The sequence below is a fragment of the Homo sapiens genome, chromosome X (genome assembly GCF_000001405.40).
Source record: "Homo sapiens chromosome X, GRCh38.p14 Primary Assembly".
Lineage (NCBI taxonomy): Eukaryota > Metazoa > Chordata > Mammalia > Primates > Hominidae > Homo > Homo sapiens.
Genome location: NC_000023.11, coordinates 132,072,052 through 132,095,488, shown reverse-complemented (window position 1 = coordinate 132,095,488; position 23,437 = coordinate 132,072,052). Strand labels below are relative to the sequence as shown.

At 39.1% G+C, this 23,437-nt stretch overlaps 2 protein-coding genes across 10 annotated transcripts in view, besides 1 other annotated feature; one reads left to right on the top strand and one right to left on the bottom strand.

The window, feature by feature from the left end:
- Nucleotides 1-18,499, top strand: part of FRMD7 (FERM domain containing 7) — a 51,031-nt gene extending 32,532 nt beyond the window's left edge. For 4 of the 5 annotated variants that reach the window (XM_017029948.3, NM_001306193.2, NM_194277.3 and 1 more), the window contains 8 exons: nt 1,350-1,447; nt 9,455-9,569; nt 9,761-9,908; nt 10,904-10,999; nt 12,963-13,126; nt 15,223-15,291; nt 15,408-15,483; nt 16,523-18,499. In XM_017029948.3, the coding sequence (XP_016885437.1) occupies nt 1,350-1,447; nt 9,455-9,569; nt 9,761-9,908; nt 10,904-10,999; nt 12,963-13,126; nt 15,223-15,291; nt 15,408-15,483; nt 16,523-17,617 (1,861 nt within the window). In that variant the 3' untranslated portion in view covers nt 17,618-18,499. Of the gene's footprint in view, nt 1-955; nt 1,448-9,454; nt 9,570-9,760; nt 9,909-10,903; nt 11,000-12,962; nt 13,127-15,222; nt 15,292-15,407; nt 15,484-16,522 lie in introns of those variants that run through there. The other variant, XM_017029949.3, reaches the window with a different exon arrangement.
- Nucleotides 2,838-2,897: a silencer, noted in NCBI's record as "silent region_21004". NCBI's record gives its function as "represses an Ori minimal core promoter by ATAC-STARR-seq in GM12878 lymphoblastoid cells {active_cell/tissue: GM12878}" and the evidence as "EXISTENCE:reporter gene assay evidence [ECO:0000049][PMID:35858748]".
- The window catches only part of STK26 (serine/threonine kinase 26), a 52,642-nt gene continuing 48,750 nt past the window's right edge, over nt 19,546-23,437 (bottom strand). For all 5 annotated transcript variants that reach the window (NM_016542.4, NM_001042453.2, XM_047442155.1 and 2 more), the window contains 4 exons: nt 23,128-23,221; nt 22,614-22,676; nt 22,396-22,532; nt 19,546-21,354 (listed from right to left, as the gene is read on the bottom strand). In NM_016542.4, the coding sequence (NP_057626.2) occupies nt 21,330-21,354; nt 22,396-22,532; nt 22,614-22,676; nt 23,128-23,221 (319 nt within the window). In that variant the 3' untranslated portion in view covers nt 19,546-21,329. The remainder of the gene's footprint in view (nt 21,355-22,395; nt 22,533-22,613; nt 22,677-23,127; nt 23,222-23,437) is intronic.

Genomic DNA, 23,437 nt, shown 5'->3' with positions numbered 1-23,437 from the left:
AAAAAGTACACATAGACCTTTATTTAGAAAATCACATTTTTATAGGGAAATGCTCATAGTACTCAGTGTTTTAATTTATAAAACAAAATATTGGGGCCAGACACAGTAGCTCACACCTGTAATCCTAGCACTTTGAGAGGCCAAGGTGGGGCAATCAACTGAGGTCAGGAGTTGAAGACCAGCCTGGCCAACATGGTGAAACCTCGTATCTACTAAAAATACAAAAATTAGCTGGGCATGGTGGTGCATGCCTGTAGTCCCAGCTGCTAGGAAGGCTGAGGCAGGAGGATCGCTTGAACCCCAGAGGCAGAGGTTGCAGTGAGCTGAGACTGCACCACTGCACTCTAGCCTGGGTAACAGAGTGAGACTCTATCTCAATAAATAAATAAATAAATAAATAAATAAATAAATAAATAAATAAATAAATAAAATATTGGAACCAATCTTGGACCATGGAAGAAGGTAATTAGTGGTAGGTAGTCTTCATTATGCACATTTCTTTACAAAATTTGATTCTCCTTTGAAAATGACTTTTTCATAAGTGTGGGATAAATGTTATCTGTTTAGCAGAGCCCTAGATACCAAGCTGCATTTCATAGGTCCCTGATGAGCATTTGGTGGGAAAAGGGGCAGTTTGGTTTAGTTCTTTTCAGCAAACATTAATTACACTAACTGTGTAAAATGATGTGTTGGGCACTGGTGATACAGAGAAGATGGTCCAGGCCAAGGGAATAACAGGCAGAAGCAGGGCCCCAAGTTCTTCATTTCTAAAACACAGTCTTTTGGATAGGAGGCAGCCTGAATTCAGGGGCAGACCTAAGTTCTAGCCACAGATTCACTATCCTTGGGTGATATGACCTTGTCAAAATCACCTAGCCCCTCTCTTTCTATAACTGTAAACTGGAGTGATCATTTCTTGCTCCACCAACCTCCTAAGTTGTTATGGTAGTGAGTACTTGATAGTGTTTTGTAAACAGTATGCTACTGGCCTCCTGAGTGCATTTATTCTTGCTTGATCTCCTATTCTTTCTAGCTGGGAATGTGGCTTTGCTACGTGGCAGAAACCACCAGAGGATGATTGGCCAACTTTCTCAATTTGGCAGGAGGATTTGGCCAGGGTGATTCCTAATGGCTGTGAGGCCTGCCAAAGTGTTCAATCAGCTGAGTTGTGGTCCGGGTCTGGTTTGGGGCTGAAGCAAAGCCTATGCATTACTCACCACCCCCAAAAAGGCATCTGACTGACTGGGGGCACCATTCCTTTCTTGAATCATCTTGGATCTGGGAGAAGGAAAATGCTTCTTTCTTATTTCTGTTTCTTTCTCAAGAGATTCTCCCCAATTTCTTTGCAGGTATCTTTTTACTCTTCAAATAAAGAAGGATTTGGCTCTAGGAAGGCTTCCATGCAGTGACAACTGTACAGCGTTGATGGTATCTCACATCTTACAATGTAAGTAGCAAATGTCTGTCTGCTTTGGGACCTATCAGCCAGGTAGAGAACCAAGCACAGGAGCTGAGCTCCCCACACATGCCCATCACTGTGTTAGGGTTTACAGGGGAGAGAAAGCCTGGATAAGATAGAGAGAAACAGCATGGCCTGAGCCTGAGTTTCCTTGTCTTTAAAATAGTGACAAGAATACCTTTGGTTCTGTGGATTAAATGTAAATGCTGATTTTCTTCTACCCCAGTCCAGCCTTCCCCTCCTACCGCCTCTGGGAAAGCTGTCCAGGAACTGGTTTGGGCTAATTTGGGCATGGGCTTTGCCAGACAGGTCCCCACTCCCTCTGCTTACCCCAGGATAATTCTCTGATACATGCTCTCTGTAGCACATTGTCACGTTTGTTGTGATTTCTCTGTTGCTCTTTATCATGATTTCAGAGAACAAAGCACAGAGTACAGCAGGTGGAGAGAGGTTAAAAGGGAAAAAAGCCCCAGGCATCTATTAGCGTTCCCCATATCCTAACAACCAACAAGTAGCTGGACTAGGCTGCATAACGAAGGTAGGTAGAAGGTGGTCTGGGGAACAGCAGGGGCCTTCCAGGGAGGGGGTGATGCCTGGCAGGCCAGGCTGCTGCTACAGCCCCAAGGGCAGGGTATAGGCAGCTGGAGATAGTATCTCTTCTAAAGCCAGCTGGACATTTTCTCCCTTCTAGAGAGGCCTCCAAAGAATAGGCTGTTTCTTACCAGTCCTGCAGGATCATAACTTCATTTTTTGTATCTTAAGTTCATTTTTGACCTCTGTACCTTACCTTTCTGATAGTCCAGAAATGACAGATTTCTAATTTCACCGGGAGCCCCAGAATGCAGTGCTTAGATAGGGACAGTGTCTGAATAAGTGTTTACCAAGTGACTCCTGGCAGGGACAATCAATGAGAGCCCTAGGATCTCAGAAAGGCAGAGGGCAGTAAGAGAAATGGTAATCATGGAAGGCTGTTGGAGAAGGTGGCTTTTGTGCTGGGCCTTAAAGGGACACATAGGAATTGGATAAGTACTTGTCAGTAAAGGAAACAGCATGAAAACAAAAATGGTGGTTAGACAAGAAGTGACGTATATAGAGGATGAAAAATGACCCAGTATAGCCCAAACATAGGGCCTGTTTAGAAGAGGTGATGGAAAATGCACCATTTTGAAGGGTCTTGAATGCCGAGGACACTAACCGTCATGTCCAGTATTGTACTTTGGCACTGGGGTGGGAGCATAGGGTAGAGCAGATAGAGGAAACAGTGCTAGAAGACATCCTTCTCCACTAGCTGCCTGTTGAGGCAGCAGTCAGAGGATTGGGGCTCCCAGGCAGTCTCTGACGGGGGAGCTCAATTTCATTCTTAACAGTTCTGCCTTATGGATTTGAGCATTCCCTAGTGGCCGTTTCAGGCATAGCACAGAGCACTTGAGCTTTTCTAGAGGATATTGTCTGTCAGTAGAAACTCTTTCCATGGAAAAAAGCTAAAGTTCCAACTAGGTAGTTCTTCGCAATTGATTGCAGTGAGACTATTTCACTAAACTCTAACGTAGTATGCAGAACACAACTAGATTGCTCTAGTTGTGCAATTTATTTGTCTAATTTTCCATTCATCTAATATTTGTTGGATACCTGCTATATTTTAAGCGTTCAAGAACCTCCACATTTATTTGTCTAATTTTCCATTCATCTAATATTTGTTGGATACCTGCTATATTTTAAGCGTTCAAGAACCTCCACATTCCAACCTTCTCGTCTCCTTTGTTTACACTTACACACCTCTCTATTCTAGCCAGACACTCCCTCCCAAACACAAGCTGAACATTTCAAATGAAGTGTCCCTCTTTTATGAACTCCCTCAGTAACTCTTCTTGGTCGTTAATTCAAGAAAATTGTATCATGTACCTACCACATGCCAGATACTATTATAGGCACTGGGAACACAGCAATAAACAGACAAAAATCCTTGCCCTTGTGGAGCTCACATTTTGGCAGCGGGGGAAAATCAGACAATGACCAAAATAAGTAAATAAATTATATAATGCATGGTAGCAGGTGATAAGAGCAATGGAGAAAAATGAAGCGTAGGAGGGAGATGGAAGAATTCTGGGGGCAGATACTGAATATTTATATTTTTAAATTTTATTCTTTTCTTCTTTTATGGACAAGAGTTAACATCGGCATAAATATTATTTTTTGAGATGGGGTCTCACGCTATCAGCCAGGCTGGAGTGCAGTGGGGCGATCTCAGCTCACTGCAACCTCCACCTCCCAGGTTCAAGTGATTCTCCTGCCTCAACCTCCTGAGTAGCTGGGATTACAGGCACATGCCACCACACCCGGCTTTTTTTTTTTTTTTTTTGTATTTTTAGTTAGAGACAGGGTTTCACCATGTTGGCCAGGCTGGTCTTGAACTCCTGGCCTCAAGTGATCCTCCCGCTTTGGCTTCCCAAAGTGCTGGGATTACACGCGTAAGCCACAGTGCCCAGCCAGCATAAATATTTAAATAAGGTGGACAGGGTAGGCTTACTGGGAAGATGACAGCTAAACAAAGACTTGAAGGAGGTGGGAGGGTAAGCTATGCAACAAAATCATGTGAAAGAGAATCCTGGCAAAGAGAGCATGCAGTGCAAAGGGCCTGAGGTGAGAGCATGCCTGGGGTGTTCAAGAAACATCAGAAAGGCTTTTATGGCTGGCTGGAGCTCAGTAAGAGAGGAAGAGAATAAATATGAAGGTCTTAAAAGCATATTAAAGGGCCAGGTGTGTTGGTTCATGCCTGTAATCCCAGCACTTTGGGAGACTGAGGTGGGAGGATCGCTTGAGGCCAGGAGTGCATATCCGACTGGCCATCTCTTTTTTAAAAAAGCATATGAAAGACCTATAGCATAACTCTAAATGAGCAGATAAGCCATCGAAGCAGTTTAAGCAGAGGAGTGAAATAATCTGAATTAGGTTTTGACGGGGTCCTTTTGGCTGCTGTGGTGAAAACAGACCTCAAGAGGAAATGGTGGAAGTGGGGAGACTAGATAAAAGGATATTACAGGAGAGAGAGACCATGGTAGTTTGGACCAGCGTGGTAACAGTGAAGGTGCTTATAACATTTGTCACCTTCTGTTACTGGAGCTATTTACTCATTCGTATGTCATAGTTGTATTCTTAGGTTGCTATAGTCTTGTATGGAGAGAAAAAAAAGCACAGTCTTATGTGCTTTTGTTTTTCTTAGGGTCAACGTGGGATTTGTGGTTAATAAACTGGAAAATTGGGGTGTGTGTGTTTGTGCATGTGATTTATTTAAAAAAACAGCTCTATTGAGGTATAATTTACACATCATAAAATTCACCCATTTTAAATGCACAACTCAATGATTTTTAGCAAATTTACAGAGTTGTGCAAGCATTACCGCAATCCAGTTTTAAAACATTTCCATCACACCAAAAGACATCTCTCATCCCTACTTGCAGTCACGCCCTGTTCCCACGCTCAGCCCCAAGCAACCACTAATTTGCTTTCTGTTTCTGTAGATTTGCCTTTCCTGAACATTTCATGTAAATGAAATGATAAAATATGGGGTATTTTGCATCTGACTTTTTTCACTCAAAATAATGATTTTTAAATTAAAGCATGCTCTAACATGAGCTGCAACAGTTTGTTCCTTTCTTTTGCTGAGCAGTATTCCATTTATGGATTTACCACTTTTTTTTTTGAGATGCTCACTGCAGCCTCCACCTCCCGGGTTCAAGCAATTCTCCTGCCTCAGCCTCCTGAGTAGCTGGGATTACAGGCAGGCACCACCACGCCCGGCTAATTTTTGTATTTTTAGTAGAGACAGGGTTTCACCATGTTGGTCAGGCTGGTCTCGAACTCCTGACCTCATGATCCACCCACTTTGGCCTCCCAAAGTGCTTGGGATTACAGGAGTGAGCCACTGCGCCCAGCCACATTTTGTTTATCTATTCACCTGGTCGTGGACATTTGGATTTTCTTCCAGTTTAGCTATTATGAATAATGCTATAAGCATTGGCACACAAGTGTTCTTGTGGATACAAGTCTTCATTTCTTTTGGGTACATTCCAAGGAGTGTAATTGCTAGGTCTTATGATATATTTATATTGAACATTTTCAGAAACTGCCAATTCAAATTGTTACAATAACATTAGAAATGTACAAGGTTTTTGACTTCTTCATACCTTCACTAACACTTGGTATTGTATATCTTTTTGATTATGACCATTCTAATGGGTATAAAGTATCTCACTGCAATTTTAATTAGCATTTTCCTAATGACTAACGATGTTGAGCACAGTTTCATGTGCTTATTCCAATGTTTTCTTTGGTAAAATGCCTAGTCAAATCTTTTGCCCATTTTTAAATGAGTTTTTATATTATTATTGAGTTTTAAGAGGGTTTTATAAATTCTGATTAAAAGTCTTTATAAGATATACAATTTGCAATTTTCTCTTCTAATCTGTGGCTTGTCTTTTCATTTTGTAAGGATATCTTTTGAAGTACAACAGTTTTAAAATTTGATGGAATTTCACTTTCTGTGTAGTTTTAGTGGATCATTCTTTCGGTGTTGTATCTAAGAACTCTTTGCCTAACTTAAGGTCAAAAAGATTTTCTCCTAGAACTTTTATAAATTTACCTCTTATAGTTAGATCTATGATCCATTTTGAGCTATTTTTTTGTACGCTTGCATGGAGTATAGTGTGAGGTAGGGGTCCGACTTCATATTTTTGTGTGTGGATGTCCATTTGTCCTAGCAACATTTGTTGAAAAGAATATTATTTTTCTTCATTGAATTGTCTTGGCACATTTGTCAAAAACCAATTGACCATAAATGTAAGGAGTTACTTCTGTACTCTCACTTATGTTCCATTGATCTATATTTCTATTCTTATGCCATTACCACACTGTCTTAATTACTGTAGCTTTGAGGTAAGCTTTGAAATAAGGAAGTGTACACATTGCCCAACTTTGTTCTTTTTCAAAATAGTTTGGTTATTCTGAGATCTGTGCATTTCCATGTAAATTTTAAGGTCATTTGTCAATTTCTATTTTTAAAAGCCTACTGGGATTTTGATGGGGATTGCATTGAATTTATAGATTATTTTTTGAAAAAATTGCCACCATAACAATATTGAATCTTCTTGTCTGTGAACATGAACTATCTCTTCATTTATATAGATCTTTTAAAAATTTCCCTTGGCAGCATTTTGTACTTTTCAGTGTGTAAGCCTTACACTTCTTTTATTAAATTCATTCCTCTGTATTTTATTCTTTTTTGATGCTATTGTAAATGGAACTTTTTAAAATATCATTTTTAGATTATTCATTGCTAGTATATATAAATACAATTGCTTTTTATATATTGATCTTCTATCATGCTACCTTGCTGAACTCATTTATTAGTTCTAGTAGTTTTTCATAGGTTCCTTGGGATTTTTTTTCTTTCCTTTTTTTCCTTTTTTTTTTTTTGAGACAGGGCCTCACTCATTCACCCAACCTGGAGTGCAGTGGCACGGCCATGGCTCACTGTAGCCTTGAATTCCTGGGCTCAAGCAATGCTCCCACCTCAGCCTCCAAAGTAGCTGGGACCTGGGACCACAGGCATGTGCCACCACACCCAGCTAATTTTTACATTTTTTGGTAGAGATGGGGTCTTGCCATGTTGCCCAAGCTGGTCTCGAACTCCTGGGCTCAAGCAATCCTCCTGCCTTGGCCTCCCTGAGTGCTAGGATTACAGGCGTGAGCCACCACGCTCAACCTTGGGATTTTCTACATGCAGGATCATGTTGAGTGCAAGTAAAGACAGTTCTACCACCTTCTTTTCAGTGCAAATTCTTTATGTTTCTTCTTCTTGCCTGACTGCACTGACTAGAACCATCAGTACAATGTTGAATAGATGTGGCAGGCACTTGATATCTTTACCTGATTTCTGATCTTAAGTGAAAGCATTTAGTTTCTCACCATTTGGTATATTCCTTGTTTGTTAAGTGTTTTGTTTTGTTTTGTTGATTGTGAGTGGGTATTAGACTTTGTGCAATGCTTTTTCTCCATCTCTTGAGAAGATAATGTGCGGGTTATTTTTTTTTTGTCCTTTATTCTATTATCATAGTGTATTATAGTCATTGGTTTTCATATGTCAAACTGACCTTGCAATCCTGAGATAAATTCAACTCATTGTGTATAATCCTTTTCATATGCTGCTGAATTCAGGTTACTAGTGTTTTGTTCAGAATTTTTGCCTCTGTATTCATGAGGAATGTTGACCTGTAGTCTTCATTTCTTATGATGTTTTTGTCCCGTTTTGGTATCAGGGTAATATTGACCTCATAGAATATGTTGCTAAGTATCTACTCCTCTATTTTCTGGGAGAGTTTGTGAAGAATTGGTATTTATTTCTTCTTTGAATATTTGATAGAATTAGTCAGTGAAACCATCAGAGCCTTATTGGGTTTCAATGTGATTTGTACATTTATCAGTATTGGCAAAAAAAATTAATCAATGAGCCATTTCTTTGGTCTTTTAAAAAATGTTTATTATATGGAGATTTTTATTATATTGTGATTTTTGAAATACAGATATACACCCACCTGTCTAAAACACAAATGGAAAACCAAGAAAGAAGAGAAAAAAAACAGCCCTCCAGCACTCAAAATAGGTATCCTATTGTCCATGTATCTTATCCAATAGAAGAGCACCATAGGATTCCATGGAGAGTCTATTTACTCTTACAGTATATAGAATGCTAACAGGTTTGGATATTTGCTTTCTCATTTTATGTTAGACTAGAAGTCTCACTTTAGAACCAAGTATTCTAAAGTTTGACTTCAGGGGAAGTCAGTGACCAGGAAATGATTCATATAAATCTGACAGAGAGGAAAAAGGCATACAAATTATAAAGAAGAAAAAAGAATCCAAAAATCAAAACAATCTGAGGCAATTAAGGTTAAGGGCACATAGTCCTAAATGCCTTTGTAGACATAGTGCTGTAATAGATGTTTCATAAAAATAAACTGGAGGCATCTAGAAAAGAGCAAATTATGATCATAGATAAACTGCTAGCTATTTGGAAAAGCCAGAATGATTTTCAGGATGATTCATCTATTGGGGATTTCAGATAGCTGGGGATTTACTAGACTCCCAATGTACAGAGTGATGAATTGGCTTGCAATGTCGTTGGCATTTATATTCCTCTTTCTTGATAATATATGATCAGGATGGAGTGGGGTTGGATGGCTGTACTAGTTTGCTAGGGCTGCCATAACAAAATACCAGAGACTGAATGGCTTAAATGCCAGAAATGTATGTTCCACAATTCTGGAGGCTTCGTGTCCAAGATAAGCTGTCAGCAGTTGTTTTTTTTTTTTTCCTGAGGCCTTTCTCCTTGGCTAGCAGATGGCTGCCTTCTTGTTGTGTTATCACTTGGTCTTTTTTTCTGTGTACTCACATCCCTGGTGTCTCTCTGTGTGTCCAAATTTCTTCTTCTTATAAGGATACCAGTCAGATTGGTTTAAGGCTTGCCTTGATGGAGTCATTTCACCTCAATCACCTCCTAAAAGCTCTATCTCCAAATATAGTCACATTCTCTGCTACTGGAATTAGGACTCCAACATATGAACTTGGCAGAGGGTGGGGACATAGTTCCACCTATACCAGTGGCTGATTGAAAGTAAGAGAGATCATATATACAATATGGTAGAAGAAAAATCTAACAAAATGTTCAACTGTGATCTTGGAGCCCCTAAGATCTATATTTGGTCTGTGACTTTCTATACTAAGGCTGAAATGCTTCCAAATTGAAAAAGAGCCAATTGCCCCCCCCAAACACACACACCCCTATAGAAACATAAATATACATAAAGCGTGGGGTTGGAGGCTTTGGACTGCATTGGCTACAAAGAAGGGGCTGTTTGATGGAGGACAAGGGTATGCTGGATGCTCCATTGCTAAGTTCCTCAAAGGTAATGTGAAAAATGTCTTTTTCCTGTCATGCAGCAGAACTTGGAGACTTTCATGAAGAAACAGATAGGAAGCATCTGGCACAAACTCGGTACTTACCAAACCAAGACTGTTTAGAGGGCAAGATCATGCACTTTCATCAGAAGCACATGTAAGTACTTTCAGCTGGCACCTGCTTCCCCCAGTAGAGAACACTAAAATTGGGGACAGACTCTTAAGAGCAAGCCCTTAAACCTGAGAAGTTTCAGGCTCCATGAAACGCTGAGATCCTCATGGAGCTCTCAGGGTGGAAATGTCATTCTTGAGGCATTTATTAGGCTCATAAATTCTTTCCCCTTTCAGTGGCAGGAGCCCAGCTGAATCTGACATTCTGCTACTGGACATAGCAAGGAAGCTGGATATGTATGGCATCAGGCCTCACCCCGCCAGTGATGGTGAAGGGATGCAGATTCACCTGGCTGTTGCTCACATGGGAGTACTGGTGTTACGGGTAAAATCTCTTTCCTTTCAAGCCCTTCAGCTTTAGTGAGGGGTGGTTATCTTGGCTCAAACTTGGGTGTCCTTTCCCAAGGTGATCTCACCCCTCAGTATTATCACCAGCCAGAAAGGGAAATGGTCAATCATATTTACTTGTAGTTGCATGAAAAGTATACATGACAAACTAATAAACATAGTTAACTGCAGGGAATGGATAGATGGGGACAGAAATAGGGGTGACAGTGGTGGGAGTGAGACTTCTTTCTATATATATCTTTTTGTATACCTCTGATTTTCAGACCACGCGAATAGATTACCTGTTGAACAAACAACAAATAAGCAAAAAAGCAAAGCTGGTTGGACCGACCAGGAAAGCCAAGGGAGTTTAGAGGAGTTGGAAATGGGTGTAGGCTGCAGTAATTAAACAGAATAGCCTAGAGAAGGGTCTGTCAGAGCTGGCAAGAAGGCTTGACTATGTGGAAGGCATTGTGGGCAAGGAAAATGAGGAGACTGCAGGAGAGAGGTATAGAGTTAGATGAAAGGGTGTTTTGGAATTAGTGGGAACAAAGGTTATATATTCAATATAGATGAGGCAGCAAGATATGGCCATGATGTGATGTGGGCAGTGAGGAGCTATTGAAGGTGTTTGAGCTATTGGGGTGTCAGGAGAAAGAGGACATTGTTTTTAGCAGATGAATCGGGAAACATGGGAAAGGGGCGAGATTAGAAAAGCTATTGTAGTAATCCTTTCCTCTTGTGATCTCCCTGTGCTGGCCAGAAAACTTCCCTAGGCATACCCCTTCTTGCTTGCATTCCAGAGCATCCTTGTATCCCACCTGAAATGCCTTCTTTGACCACAGCTCCTACCCAGTGCAGCAGGATCAATCTGTGCAAGAGATGGGTCAAGGGCGGTCCCTCTCATTAAGTGCATTTTCTATCAGGTTTGCACTGTCTTACAAGCCAACTCTTGTTAATACATTCTGAAATCTGCCACATTTTTCATTGTAGGGAAATACAAAGATCAATACTTTTAACTGGGCTAAAATCCGCAAGTTGAGTTTTAAGAGAAAGCATTTTCTCATCAAACTTCATGCCAATATCTTGGTAAGTAGCTTTCTAATAAATTCGTTTACTTTCTGTTCACTGGGAATTTTTTTGGTTGTTTCTGCAAATCGTTTGAATGTAAATTGTAAAAGCCGGCTGGCCCTGAGTGATGGTGTGTCTTTTCTTTTGCCTTTGAAGAAATCAACCAGAGTTTTAATCATTTTTTACTAAAGGCAAAACACTAAGAAATCTGATTGGCAGTTTAGAGTTAACAAAGTAATAGGAAAATGGGGCAGCTCGGCTGAAAGGCAAGTCTCCCTGGAAACTGCTTTTTAGGGATTTGATAAGTCAAATGGGAGTGACCAGATCTAGGACTAAGAATACATTCATATGATGTTATCTGTTCCATTTTATAAAGTATCTTCAATTACTTTCCTTAAGCAAAAATTATTGAACACCTAGTATATGCCAAAAACAAGCAGGATGTGGGAGTCAGGTATACACGTAAGCAAAATAAACAGTTTTTGGGCAAGGTTGCATAGTAAAGGGTGAGACAAAGGTGCTAGAAATGATCTTCTTTTTTTATTCTAGAGATAGGGTCACACTGTTGCCCACACTGAAGTGGAGTGGTGACATGTAGCTCAGAGCAGCCTCAACGTCCTGGGCTCAAGTGATCCTACCGCCTCAGCCTTTTGAGTAGCTAGGACTACAGGCATGTGCCACCACACTTCGCTAATTTTTAAAACATATTTTGTAGAGACAAGGTCTCACTATGTTGCCCAGGCTGGTCTCAAACTCCTGGCCTCAAATGATCCTCTTACTCTGGCCTCCCAAAGTGCTGACGTTACCAGGCATGAGCCACTTAGTCTAGAAAGGAATTTTCTTATGACCATAAAGAAAATAAAAAGTGTGTATCAACTAATTTTTGACCTACTGAAGATCCAGCAGTTTGGATTTTATTCTCTGCATCTTGACCTTATAGAAAAGTGTTCATTGAGCAGTTCAAGAAACTGGACTTAGTGTGAAGCTCATGGAGAGCCCCAGAGGCTACATGCAGGAACCTGGAAAGGAATGAGAGAAGTGGGGTCAGTGCAGTGGGTTGATGGGGCTGCTGAAAACAGGGCTGCAAACATGCCATGTGAGGGGTACATATAGTGTCAGGAGATGGGGAAAACTCGAACTTTAGGTCTGGAAAGCCAAGATTAGAATATGCTAGATGAGCAATATAGAGCATTGTACAAGACAACCTATAGAGGAAAAAGTGTTTCTAACTGTTACACTAAAAAGACTCATGGACTGAGTGTAGTGGCTTGCGTTCATAATCCCAGTGCTTTAAGAGGTTGAGGTGGAAGGATCACTTGAGTTCAGGAGTTTGAGACCAACCTGGGCAACATAGCAAGATCCCATCTCAACAAAAAAAACTACAAAGAAATTAAGCGGGTATGGTGGCACATGCCTGTAGTTCTAGCTATTCAGGAGGCTGAGTCAGGAAGACTGCTTGAGCCCAGGAGTTTGAGGTTATAGTGAGTGATGATCATGCCACTGCACTTCAGCCTGGGCAACAGAGTGACACCTTGTCTCAAGAAAACAACAGACTTATGTACATGTAATCATCTTATAAACCCTTCCATCTATAAGGAAATCTTCTCCTCCCTCCTGTTTCCTGTTGGTCATTTATAACTTCTCACCTTGAAAAGATGCCCTTTGACATGATTTTAATCTAATTTACTTCATAAAAATGTTTCTGGCAGAGAAGAGTGAGTAAAAAAGGTATTTAAGGTGAGGGGAGTGTGCAAAGCAATATTTGCTTCTTAGAGAAGGCTCTGTTTGTGAGCAGTGGCCCTGTCTATTCCTCGCAAGGTTGCCAATCATTAGGTTTCAGCAGGTGTGAAACCTACAGGGAGCCAAGTGGAAAATCAGAAGCTGCATGGGCCAACGGAGCAATAGTTTGGAAGGCATTGGGATTTGAAGGTCTTTGATATTCTTGAAGGATGTTTTACTTAATGGAAATTGGTTTATACAGGTGTTGTGCAAGGATACCTTGGAGTTCACCATGGCCAGCCGAGATGCCTGCAAGGCTTTCTGGAAGACTTGTGTGGAATACCATGCTTTCTTCAGGCTTTCGGAAGAGCCCAAATCAAAGCCCAAAACCCTACTCTGCAGCAAGGGTTCCAGTTTCCGCTATAGGTAATTAAACAATGCACATAGGCAAACTGCTCACACTGCTTCTTTTCAATAACACAGGAGGCTTAGGAGGAGTTCACATTCTAGAAGCAACAAAGAATCCATTTCAATCACATCAAAGATTGCACCCTTTCCTGCTCATTCTCTGTATGACACATTAAGTCAATGTTTTCTAACTAGGAGGGAGGAAGATGGGGGCACCTTACCTAAGGGGTAGGATCAGAGTCTCAGCAAGGATGGGCGGATGTGTGCAGTTTGAGAATACATGTTCTATAAACCCATTGTTTCTCCTATATTTAACTTATATGCAAACCATGGAAAGAAAAAGCTCAACAGCATCCTTTGGGTTGTAAAAGCTAGCATGAGAAAGCACTGGAGGGGATAAGAGATTTAGAAGATTGAACAATATGCCACTAGAGAATCCTCACTACAGGTCACACTTTGGAGGAATTGAAGCAAGGTTGGGTTAAGATCTTGTCTTTCGAGTTAATGGTTGCAGCACACCAACATGGTACATGCATACATATGTAACAAACCTGCACGTTGTGCACATGTACCCTAAAACTTAAAGTATAATAATAATAAAATAAAAAAAAAGATCTTGTCTTTACTTGAATACGTCAGCCTAGGAATCCGTTGGAGGAAGTTTTCAAAACTTTTAGCTAGGTACAAAATTCTGATTAAAAGCTTCCCCATACAGGATTTTTTCCAAAGAGTGATATCCTACCCCAGTAAAAATTAAGATCTGTTAAAACTTACATATTTCTGATTGAATCTTTCCAGTCTGTATTCTATGAATCCCTGCCTTCTTAAATAGATGATACTGAGCATATTTTGCCCCTTTCTTAATGACCTGAGTTATTATAAACATCACATATGATCTTTTGCAGGCAGCTGTAGTGCAATAATGGCCTCAGGGCAGGGGATGCATGTCAAGGCCCTGTACTTAGGTGATAAATCATCCAGACTCTTTAGACTTTATTATTCTTGTGTTTTTTTTTGTTGTTGTTGTTTGTTTTGTTTTGTTTTGTTTTGAGATGGAGTCTTGCTCTGTCACCCAGGCTGGAGTGCAGTGGCGCGATCTCGGCTCACTGCAATCTCCGCCTCCCATGTTCAAGCAATTCTCTGCCTTAGCCTCCCAAGTAGCTGGAATTACAGGCGCGGGCCACCACACCCGGCTAATTTTTGTATTTTTGGTAGAGACGGGGTTTCACCATCTTGGCCAGGCTGATCTTGGACCCCTGACCTTGTAATCCACCAGCCTTGGCCTCCCAAAGTGCTCGAATTACAGGTGTGAGCCATGGTGCCTGGCTAATTCTTGTGATTTTTTTTGATTTTTATGTTTCTCCCGGCTGTGATCTGACTTTCTTTGTTAGTGTATGCCTAACTAGAACAATCCTCTTCTACTGTTCATTTAGCTGCTTTTCTTCTGCTGTGGACTGGGAAACCAGATAAGTAACCTCATTGAAAGTAGTATGGAAAATCAGTCAGTTGACTCTGATTTGGAGGTAGAGGAAAAGCCTTTAAAGGGAAATATATTGTTATTATTATTTGAGACAGGGTCTCGCTGTGTTGCCCAGGCTGGAGTGCAGTGACATGATCTCCGCTCACTGCAGCCTTGCCTCCCAGGCTCAAGCAATCCTCCCACCTCAGCCTCCCAAGTGGTAGGGACTACAGGCATGCACTACCATGGCCGGGTAATTTTTATTATTTTTGTAGAGATGAGGTCTCACTATGTTGCCCAGGCTGGTCTCAAACTCCTGGGCTCGAGTCATCCTCCTGCCTCAGCCTCCCAAAGGGCTGGGATTAAGGTGTGAGCCACCATGCCCAGACCAGGTATATTATTTTTAAAGCCCACAATTTTTAGCTGTTATGTAACCCTGTTCAGAGGCCTTTAAAAATTACCTGCGTTCTGAGTAGTTGAGGTTGTTCTCTGCCTGGTCCTTGAATAAGTGGGTATTATCATTGTGATGGTCAAAGATTCATGACATATGTCATTCATCTAGTCTTTTGATTTCAACAATAAACGAGGCTTTCAAGTTTTAGTAGCCTATTGGTTTATGGCTAGAACTAAGGATTTTTATTGTTCCTTATGATAGTGGACGAACCCAAAGGCAACTTTTGGAATATGGGAGAAAAGGGAGGCTGAAGAGCTTGCCATTTGAAAGGTACATGATTTTGTTTCTCTTGCTCGTGTTGATTTTATGTTGAATTTGGAGATTTCTATGTATCCTGGTATTCACATGAAGGTCATTTCAATGACTTCTCTGCTTGGGGATTTCAGGAAACATTACCCATCTCAGTACCATGAACGACAGTGCAGGTCCTCACCAGACCTCCTCTCTGATGTGTCAAAACAAGTAAGGTTTCTGAAAATTTCTACTTCTTTAGATAAATGTAATTTGTGCAAATTTCAAATGCTTCCATGAATTGATTCTGCCAGAATCCCAGTGTGTAAAAAGGTTACTCTGTTTGAGTAGGTTAGCTTCCTGGGGAGGTCTGTCAGCTCAGTCTTTCCTGCCAATAGAAGATCATTTAGTAAACTACCACTGGTGTGTACCTTATAGACTGGAGAGAACTGGCACATCTTCAAATTGCAACCTGTGTTGCTAACATCTTGCAAAATGCAGATCCAAATGGCTTTGAATTTTCAAAACTGAAAGCTCCATCTTTTTACCTATGAAAATCTTAAAGTGTAGAGGAAGGTATAAGGTCTTGGGTTAAAGTTTTAGAGTATTTTTCCTGTGTAATTTTGTAACTTAAGGACAAAGTGTTGTTCCCTTGGAACTGTGAGATGATGGCTTCCTTTGACATTTTTAGTATGAAAATTGTGAATTATTTTTCTTTTACTCTCCCTAAAAAAATAATTATAGGTCTCATAAACCCTCATGCCTTCAAGTCACTGGCAGTTTTTATCCAAAAGGCATCAGAGGCATAATGATGAAAGGAGCCATTTAGTATATGAACCTCTCATACCATTCATAGCCCTCCTCCCACCATTTTACAGAAAATAGGGAGGAAGCTGGAGCAGCAAGGTTAGGAGACTTGTCTAAGGTCACACAGCAAATCAGAGACAGAGCCAGGACTAACAGGCAGGACTCCTGGTTCACTAATATAGCTATTAAACCAAACTGCTTGTAGTGTATACACTCAGAGTCTGGAAGTAGGATGGCATTGAGAAAGAATAGTGTCACATGTACTTTTTAACACATGCACTGTGATGTAGTAGAAGTTATTACCCTTTCTTTATATATTTATCTACCCTAGAATAGAACATGGATCTTGTTAAATGACTTTATGAAAAACTACCTTTCAAACTTTGAGGCTAATTTAGATCCCTCCCCCAGCCCTAACCAAATGGCCTTTTCCTTCTTTCACCAATGTGTCCATTCTCTCAAGGTGGAAGATTTGAGACTAGCATATGGTGGTGGCTACTACCAAAATGTGAATGGAGTGCACGCATCTGAGCCAGTGCTGGAGAGTAGGAGGAGGAATTCTGCATTGGAGGTGACATTTGCAACTGAGCTGGAGCATTCCAAACCAGAGGCGGATCCCACATTGCTACATCAGTCCCAAAGCAGTTCCTCTTTCCCTTTTATTTATATGGACCCTGTCTTTAACACTGAGCCCAATCCTAACCCTGATCCCAGAGACATTTTTTCAGAGAGGAGTTCTCTAAGCTCCTTCCAAACAAGCTGTAAGTTTTCTGGTAATCACATGAGCATATATTCTGGCCTCACAAGCAAAGTGCGTCCAGCAAAGCAGCTAACTTACACGGATGTGCCCTATATTCCTTGTACAGGTCAGCAGGTTGGTATTATGCCTCCCCAGGTCTTTTTTTATGTGGACAAGCCACCCCAGGTGCCCAGATGGTCCCCAATTAGAGCAGAGGAAAGGACAAGTCCACATAGCTATGTAGAGCCCACTGCAATGAAGCCAGCTGAAAGAAGCCCAAGGAATATCAGAATGAAGAGCTTTCAGCAAGACCTGCAAGTACTCCAAGAAGCTATAGCCAGGACTAGCGGTAGGAGCAACATCAATGTAGGTCTAGAAGAGGAAGACCCAAATTTGGAAGATGCATTTGTATGTAACATTCAAGAGCAAACCCCTAAAAGGTCCCAGAGCCAATCAGACATGAAAACTATTCGTTTTCCTTTTGGGTCAGAATTTAGACCTTTAGGGCCTTGTCCTGCTCTCAGTCATAAAGCAGACCTGTTTACGGATATGTTTGCAGAGCAGGAGTTGCCAGCAGTTCTAATGGATCAAAGTACAGCAGAAAGGTATGTAGCTAGTGAATCCAGTGATTCTGAATCAGAGATTCTTAAACCAGACTACTATGCTTTGTATGGCAAAGAAATAAGGTCACCCATGGCCAGAATCCGCCTGTCTTCTGGTAGTCTACAGTTAGATGAAGAAGATGAAGATGCTTATTTCAACACACCAACTGCTGAAGACAGGACTTCACTAAAACCATGTAATTACTTTTTAGCTTAAAAGTGTGAACCTATGGACATTTCTGAGCCAGTTCCATGTTACCGACTTAGGCAGAAAATAATGAAGTTGTAGAAACCATTTTCTTGGTTACTACATATTCATTGGTATTAAGGAAATCTCATTTTGGATGCCTGCCTTATGAAAGATCCAGCTGTTGCCTCATTCCTTGAGTTTCACTCTTCCATTACCTCTGAAGGGACTTTAGAACATGCCCTCTCCTCACCAGCACTGTGGCAAGGCAAGGTGGGTATTTGTCATCTCCACTGCATACTTCCTCATAGAGACATTGTGAGTGAAGGTCAGGCTCTTCAATGCTGAAGAATGGTGACAGTATGGGTTGGCATATGGAATTAGCGTCTAATGGCATTTAGTGATTTAGTAGATTGTGACTGTGTTGATCTTTGTGCTCTTAAACAACACTGAACAAATATTTCAGTCTTTACTATTTGTGTGGGGCCCAGTAGAAATGGTCTTGTAATATGCTAAATACTTCCATTTTTATAACATATAAAAGCAGAGCATGGCCCTCCTACAGCCTCAGGAAGGAGGTGGTGGCATAGATCCTCTCAAGAGAATACAGGTTTAGAATTAATCTAGGACTTGGCAGAATTCTAAACCTAGGAAATTCATGAATTAAATCAATTTCTAGAGCCAGACATAAACCAGATGAAAGTATCATGTTGTTTTACTTATAACTTCTATATTCTTATCTACTATATCTAGTAAAAGAGAAACATTATCAGGTCAGTTTGTTTATCTAATATTTCCTGCCAGAATTTATTTTTTGTCATAGCTTCTTGCATGTATGCAGGCCAGGAAATGAATGTTATTGTAATAAAGTGTGATGGAAAATCCAGGTAATTAAAAAATAAATTATAACTATGTTCTTCCTTTTGTTTTAATCAATTTCAGAAGTGATTGGTTCTGGCCTATTACTAAGGAAAGGGACAGTTACAGAACATGGAAAAGGAGGGAGGCAAGTGAAAATGTATGGTCAGGGAGAGGAAAAGTAGTAGAATTGAAGGGTAGCTGAAACAAAGAAGGATGGTACTAATACCAGGGTGAGTTAATGAACCAAAATTCCATTTTTGACCCATTCAGAACTTCTCTAATGGTCCTCCTAGAAGGTATAGCATTCTATTTGAGAAGTTTATTTTGTTTGATTTTAAAGTCCAACATATTTACAAGATAATGTTACTACTAACTTCAAAGAAAGGAGGCAATTCTATAGGCAAGCTATTTTTATATATAACTTAAAGGAGAAAAAACTAATGGAATAGCTTCCTTACTCTCCTAAACTTTACATCAGAAAAATCCCTCTTAATATACCTCATCCCACCCCTTTCCTCCATCCTAGCACTTTCTTGTCTGCTTCTGGACTCATATCCAGTAACTCACAAGTCTAGAGTAGCTATCTAATAATAAGAATATATTGAAACCCAATCACCTGGGCTTAATAATATAACATAGTATAATATTAGGATATTATATAATTAATATACTAATATATTAATACATATTAATACCCTAGATCCTTAATGCTAAGTTCACCCTCAACCTCTTCTCTAGGAAAAACTTAAACTCCTTTATGTTAATGCTATTTCTCATATCAATTTCTAAAAATCTTTACTAAGTTTATATCTGTATATGATCTCTTAATAATATAATAATTAGGGTGACCATATAATTTATTGTTCAACCCAGGACACTTTCAAGTGAAAGGGGACTTTATTAATAATTTGGTCAAGACAGGAGGCCTAGAAATCAGGACAGATGTTCATTGTAGCTATAATTAATGCTTAATGAAATGTGAAAAGTATCTTCTGGTTTCCAACAGAAATTTCGATTTTAGTGTTTGAACAATAAAGGACAAAGGAGTCCTTGAAGTCCCATACCACACCCCCAACTCAAGGAAAACAAACATTGAGGACTGTGAAATTTAAATATTTATTTTCAAAACCCCTAAAACACTGGAGTATGCTTCACCTAGAAACAGATTACAGGACGAATAGCTATAATGAATAAGCAATACAATTTGTATTTGGGATGCAATTGTGTTGTAAAGTTTCAAATAATCAATTTATAAATTTGTTGCTTTTACTTTTACAAAAATATTCATTTAACCCATAACATGAGTTGCAAAATTATCTCCAGACTTCTACAGATGATTATAAACTGTAATTGTGTTTCAGTTACACAGCAGGTGAAAAATTTAACTGAACCGTTACTTCAAAATACAATGCATTAAAAATAATTGTTACAATATAGGCACCAATAAAAAGAATTTTCTTGGCATACAACACCACAACAACTTTCTCAAGTATCTGTATTATGTAAATTAAAAAGAGGATGTAATGGCCACTTTGACTAAAAACTGTATTCCTTACAGGAAGAATATCTTTCTTTTAATATTTGACAATTACTCAGATTTTTTTAAATGACTTTTGTGCAAAAACCAAACTGTGCAGATCCAAACAATTAAACATTAGCTATCAAAACTAAATATCAATAATTCTACAACTACTGAAATACAGCCCCAGTTCAGAACTTAGGCAGGCATAATATATGTACTGGGCTTAAAAGAAAAAGGCATCACCCACATAATAGTACCATAAATATAAGTGAAAATTAACTGTGCAATCTAATTTAACCTTTGTGTGGACAGAAATCATCCTGTACTATGGTTATTTTCATATGAACTAGAAAATGCTCACTTAAATATCCTTTTAAAAACAACAAACTGATGCTTATTAGTGATAATTATGAAGAACAAAAATATATAAATAGTTTATAGGACAATTTATTACCATGGCAAAAATATGCTGATTTAAGTTATATTCATACCTGTTGATCAGATATTTAATCACATGACAATCAGCTTTATTTTTTGGCTCTCCAAATCCAAGCAGATAGTATGGGATTTTAGTTGAAGATGTAAAACATGAAGCCAGACTAACTCCTTCAACATTACCAAACACCTATCCTTGGGTAAATGATCTTGCTTTAAATTTCTAACCATGTGAAATAAGGGTAAAATTGCCTCTTCTACCTAAAAGAGAATGTAAATACTATACACCAAGAGGTACCTCTGTTGCTGTACATTGCCTGTAAATGCTTCAAACACAGGGTCTCAAATGTGATAATCATTGAGCTGCCTGGAATATCATACCAACTTGGTAGAAGAGTCAATACTTTTACAGGTTTCATTTAAAAGACTTTACTTAAATTTTCTGTTTTAAGAAGGTATGACTTATTTACACCTCCCCACCAATAGTCATTTTTAGAATATGCATGTTTTTTTTTAAAAAAAAAAGCTTTTTGAAGCTTGATAATTTACAAAAGCTGAATATTGAGAATGACTTTGAAAGACCTGTATGTTTCATGACTGTAGAGTCAACTAAAGATCAAAATGTGAAAGGTATTCATCCTCGTAACTTAAGAAATAGGGATACTTAAAAGCAAAACGGTGTCTCAACATTTACTAGAATACAGGTGAAACTATAGTATTAAAAGTTATTCCTTACAAAATAATCCTTTCAAAATATAAAATGATAAACGCCATCACAAAATAGTTTAATAGCTTCTTCCAAATCTTCAGTGTTGCAAAGATCCAAAAGGCACATGGAGCTCATGGGTTAAGCATTGTTAATCTTGACGTAGGTTTGGTGGGGCTCTCTGGGTCCATATGAAACAGAAGCCAATAATAAGTTTCTTAGGGGGATTCGTCTGCTGAACACCTATAAAATTTTTAAAAAATTTAAACCAATGTACAACTATGCATGTTTATATTTCTCCTTTGTATGAACTCTGCAATGAAGAAACTGATTCCACAAAAGGGATACATTGTTTCTATTGAATCTTATCATGTAGATGTTAAAATATAAACAAGTTAAAAAATCCCTTCTGCATCTGATTTCACAACTTCCGATTGATTTGTTTTCAAATGGGGGGTTTTCATTAAAATATAAGGGATTTTAAGAGGGGGTTAGGTTTGCGAGTACAAGTGAGCCTTATCAGATAGAAAGATCTTTGAGAGTGTGTGATTTCACAGGTCACAGAGTTTGTTCCATCTCGATCCCAGTGGCATCACAAACACAAAGAAATATAAAGATGCACTGAGAAGAGATATAGCAGGGTCAAGGCTAAAATCAGTATCACCTTATAGCTTGCTTGAGCTAAGGAGTGTATATGTGTGCATGCATACAAAAGTCTTGTTGAAAATTTTTTAAAAAATTAAATGTAAGAACTTTTTTGAATGCGAACAAAATCAAATGAATATTTCAAGAGACAACATAGAAACTGAAGTTGAACATAAGAGCCCTTTTTTGGTCTGGATTGAGTCCCTCTACCTTTTCCTTAACTTTTCATATGGAGATCAAACGTAGGAACTTTAGCACTGGAAACTATGCAACTAGTGGTGTTTTGTTAAATTCTGAGGGTAGTGGCAAGAAAGAAAGCATTCCACAATTATATTAATAAGAGCTCAAATGAGAATATGCTCAGTGACCTTTTGTCTATAATCCTACTAGTGGAGAAAGAAAAACAGGTCATTTCATGCAGTGGAAAACTACCTTGTCATGCCTAAAGATAATCATTCTAAAAGCTAATGTTTAAGATAGACAACAGACAAAAACTATTTTTAAGTATACAACTATGTATTGAAAGGTGACTTTGTTAGGAATAATTGGAATGGTTGAATCAAAGGAATTACATTGCATCATAAATTAACATACAACAGAAAATGCAAAATAATTTTTAAAATGACATTTCCAACTTACTTTTGAAATTTTTCAATTAGTTTCTTCACCATTTTATCTGTGATGCCGGGACAGGCGGCTTCAGCCACAGCAATACTTTTCTCGAGTTCTTCAATCGCCTGATTCCTGCTAGCGTTATTCTCGTCCTGCTGTTTAAGCTGAGAAAGAATAATAGTTAAAACATTTAAAATATTATACTACTTAACACAGATATCCAAGGCTAATTAATCTGTACTTACTTCAGCAAATGCAGGTGTGATTATCATAGACAAACAACTCAGGGTTTGCACAAGATCTTGCTCCTTTGAACAAATAATATAGATTATACACATGAAATTAAAATAAGTGTCATGATTTTCTTATTCTTTAACAAATACGAACTAATTTGAATCCCCTACTGAAAACAAAAGATTGTATGCAAGGCAAGTCTCTAAGCTTTCTTCCTATCATTCATTCTCATTCATCATCCAGAAGTCCTCTAACTTCTGGGATTACAATAGATACCTATGATTCCCTGGGCTTATGTATCTCCAGGTGAAATGCACTTAAAAAATACCAATATGGCCACTTAAATAACTTCTATTAACTTTTCTTAATTAGCTCAAAACTAATGACAAATGAAGCATACTACAAACACAGTGAGGCAGACAGGCATTTAGGGGTATTCAATCCTAACAATTTTAGGCCATTATCATCTCACTACATGGTTTGAAAAACTGTATGAAGAGTAAGTAATTGTCTCCATATACATACTGCCCCATTCTGTACTTTCTTTGGATCAGGCTTCTTTCGTACGGTGGTAAAGCTCCATTCAGGATGAGTATTGTTTTCCCTGCTGGTAGATTCCCTAAAGAGATTGCCAAAGATACCTCTATAAGTGCCCAAATGATTCAGCTTGGCAAAAATACCAAATCAATGCAGGTAGAATCTAAAGGGATAATTGTCCCAATGTTTAAAAACTCATGATGCAAAAAAGCATCTGATCTCAGCTTCAGGCGAATACTACATTTTACTACAGAGTAGTAGTGGAGTGGTTCTCAACTCTGTGTGTGCTTCATTGAGA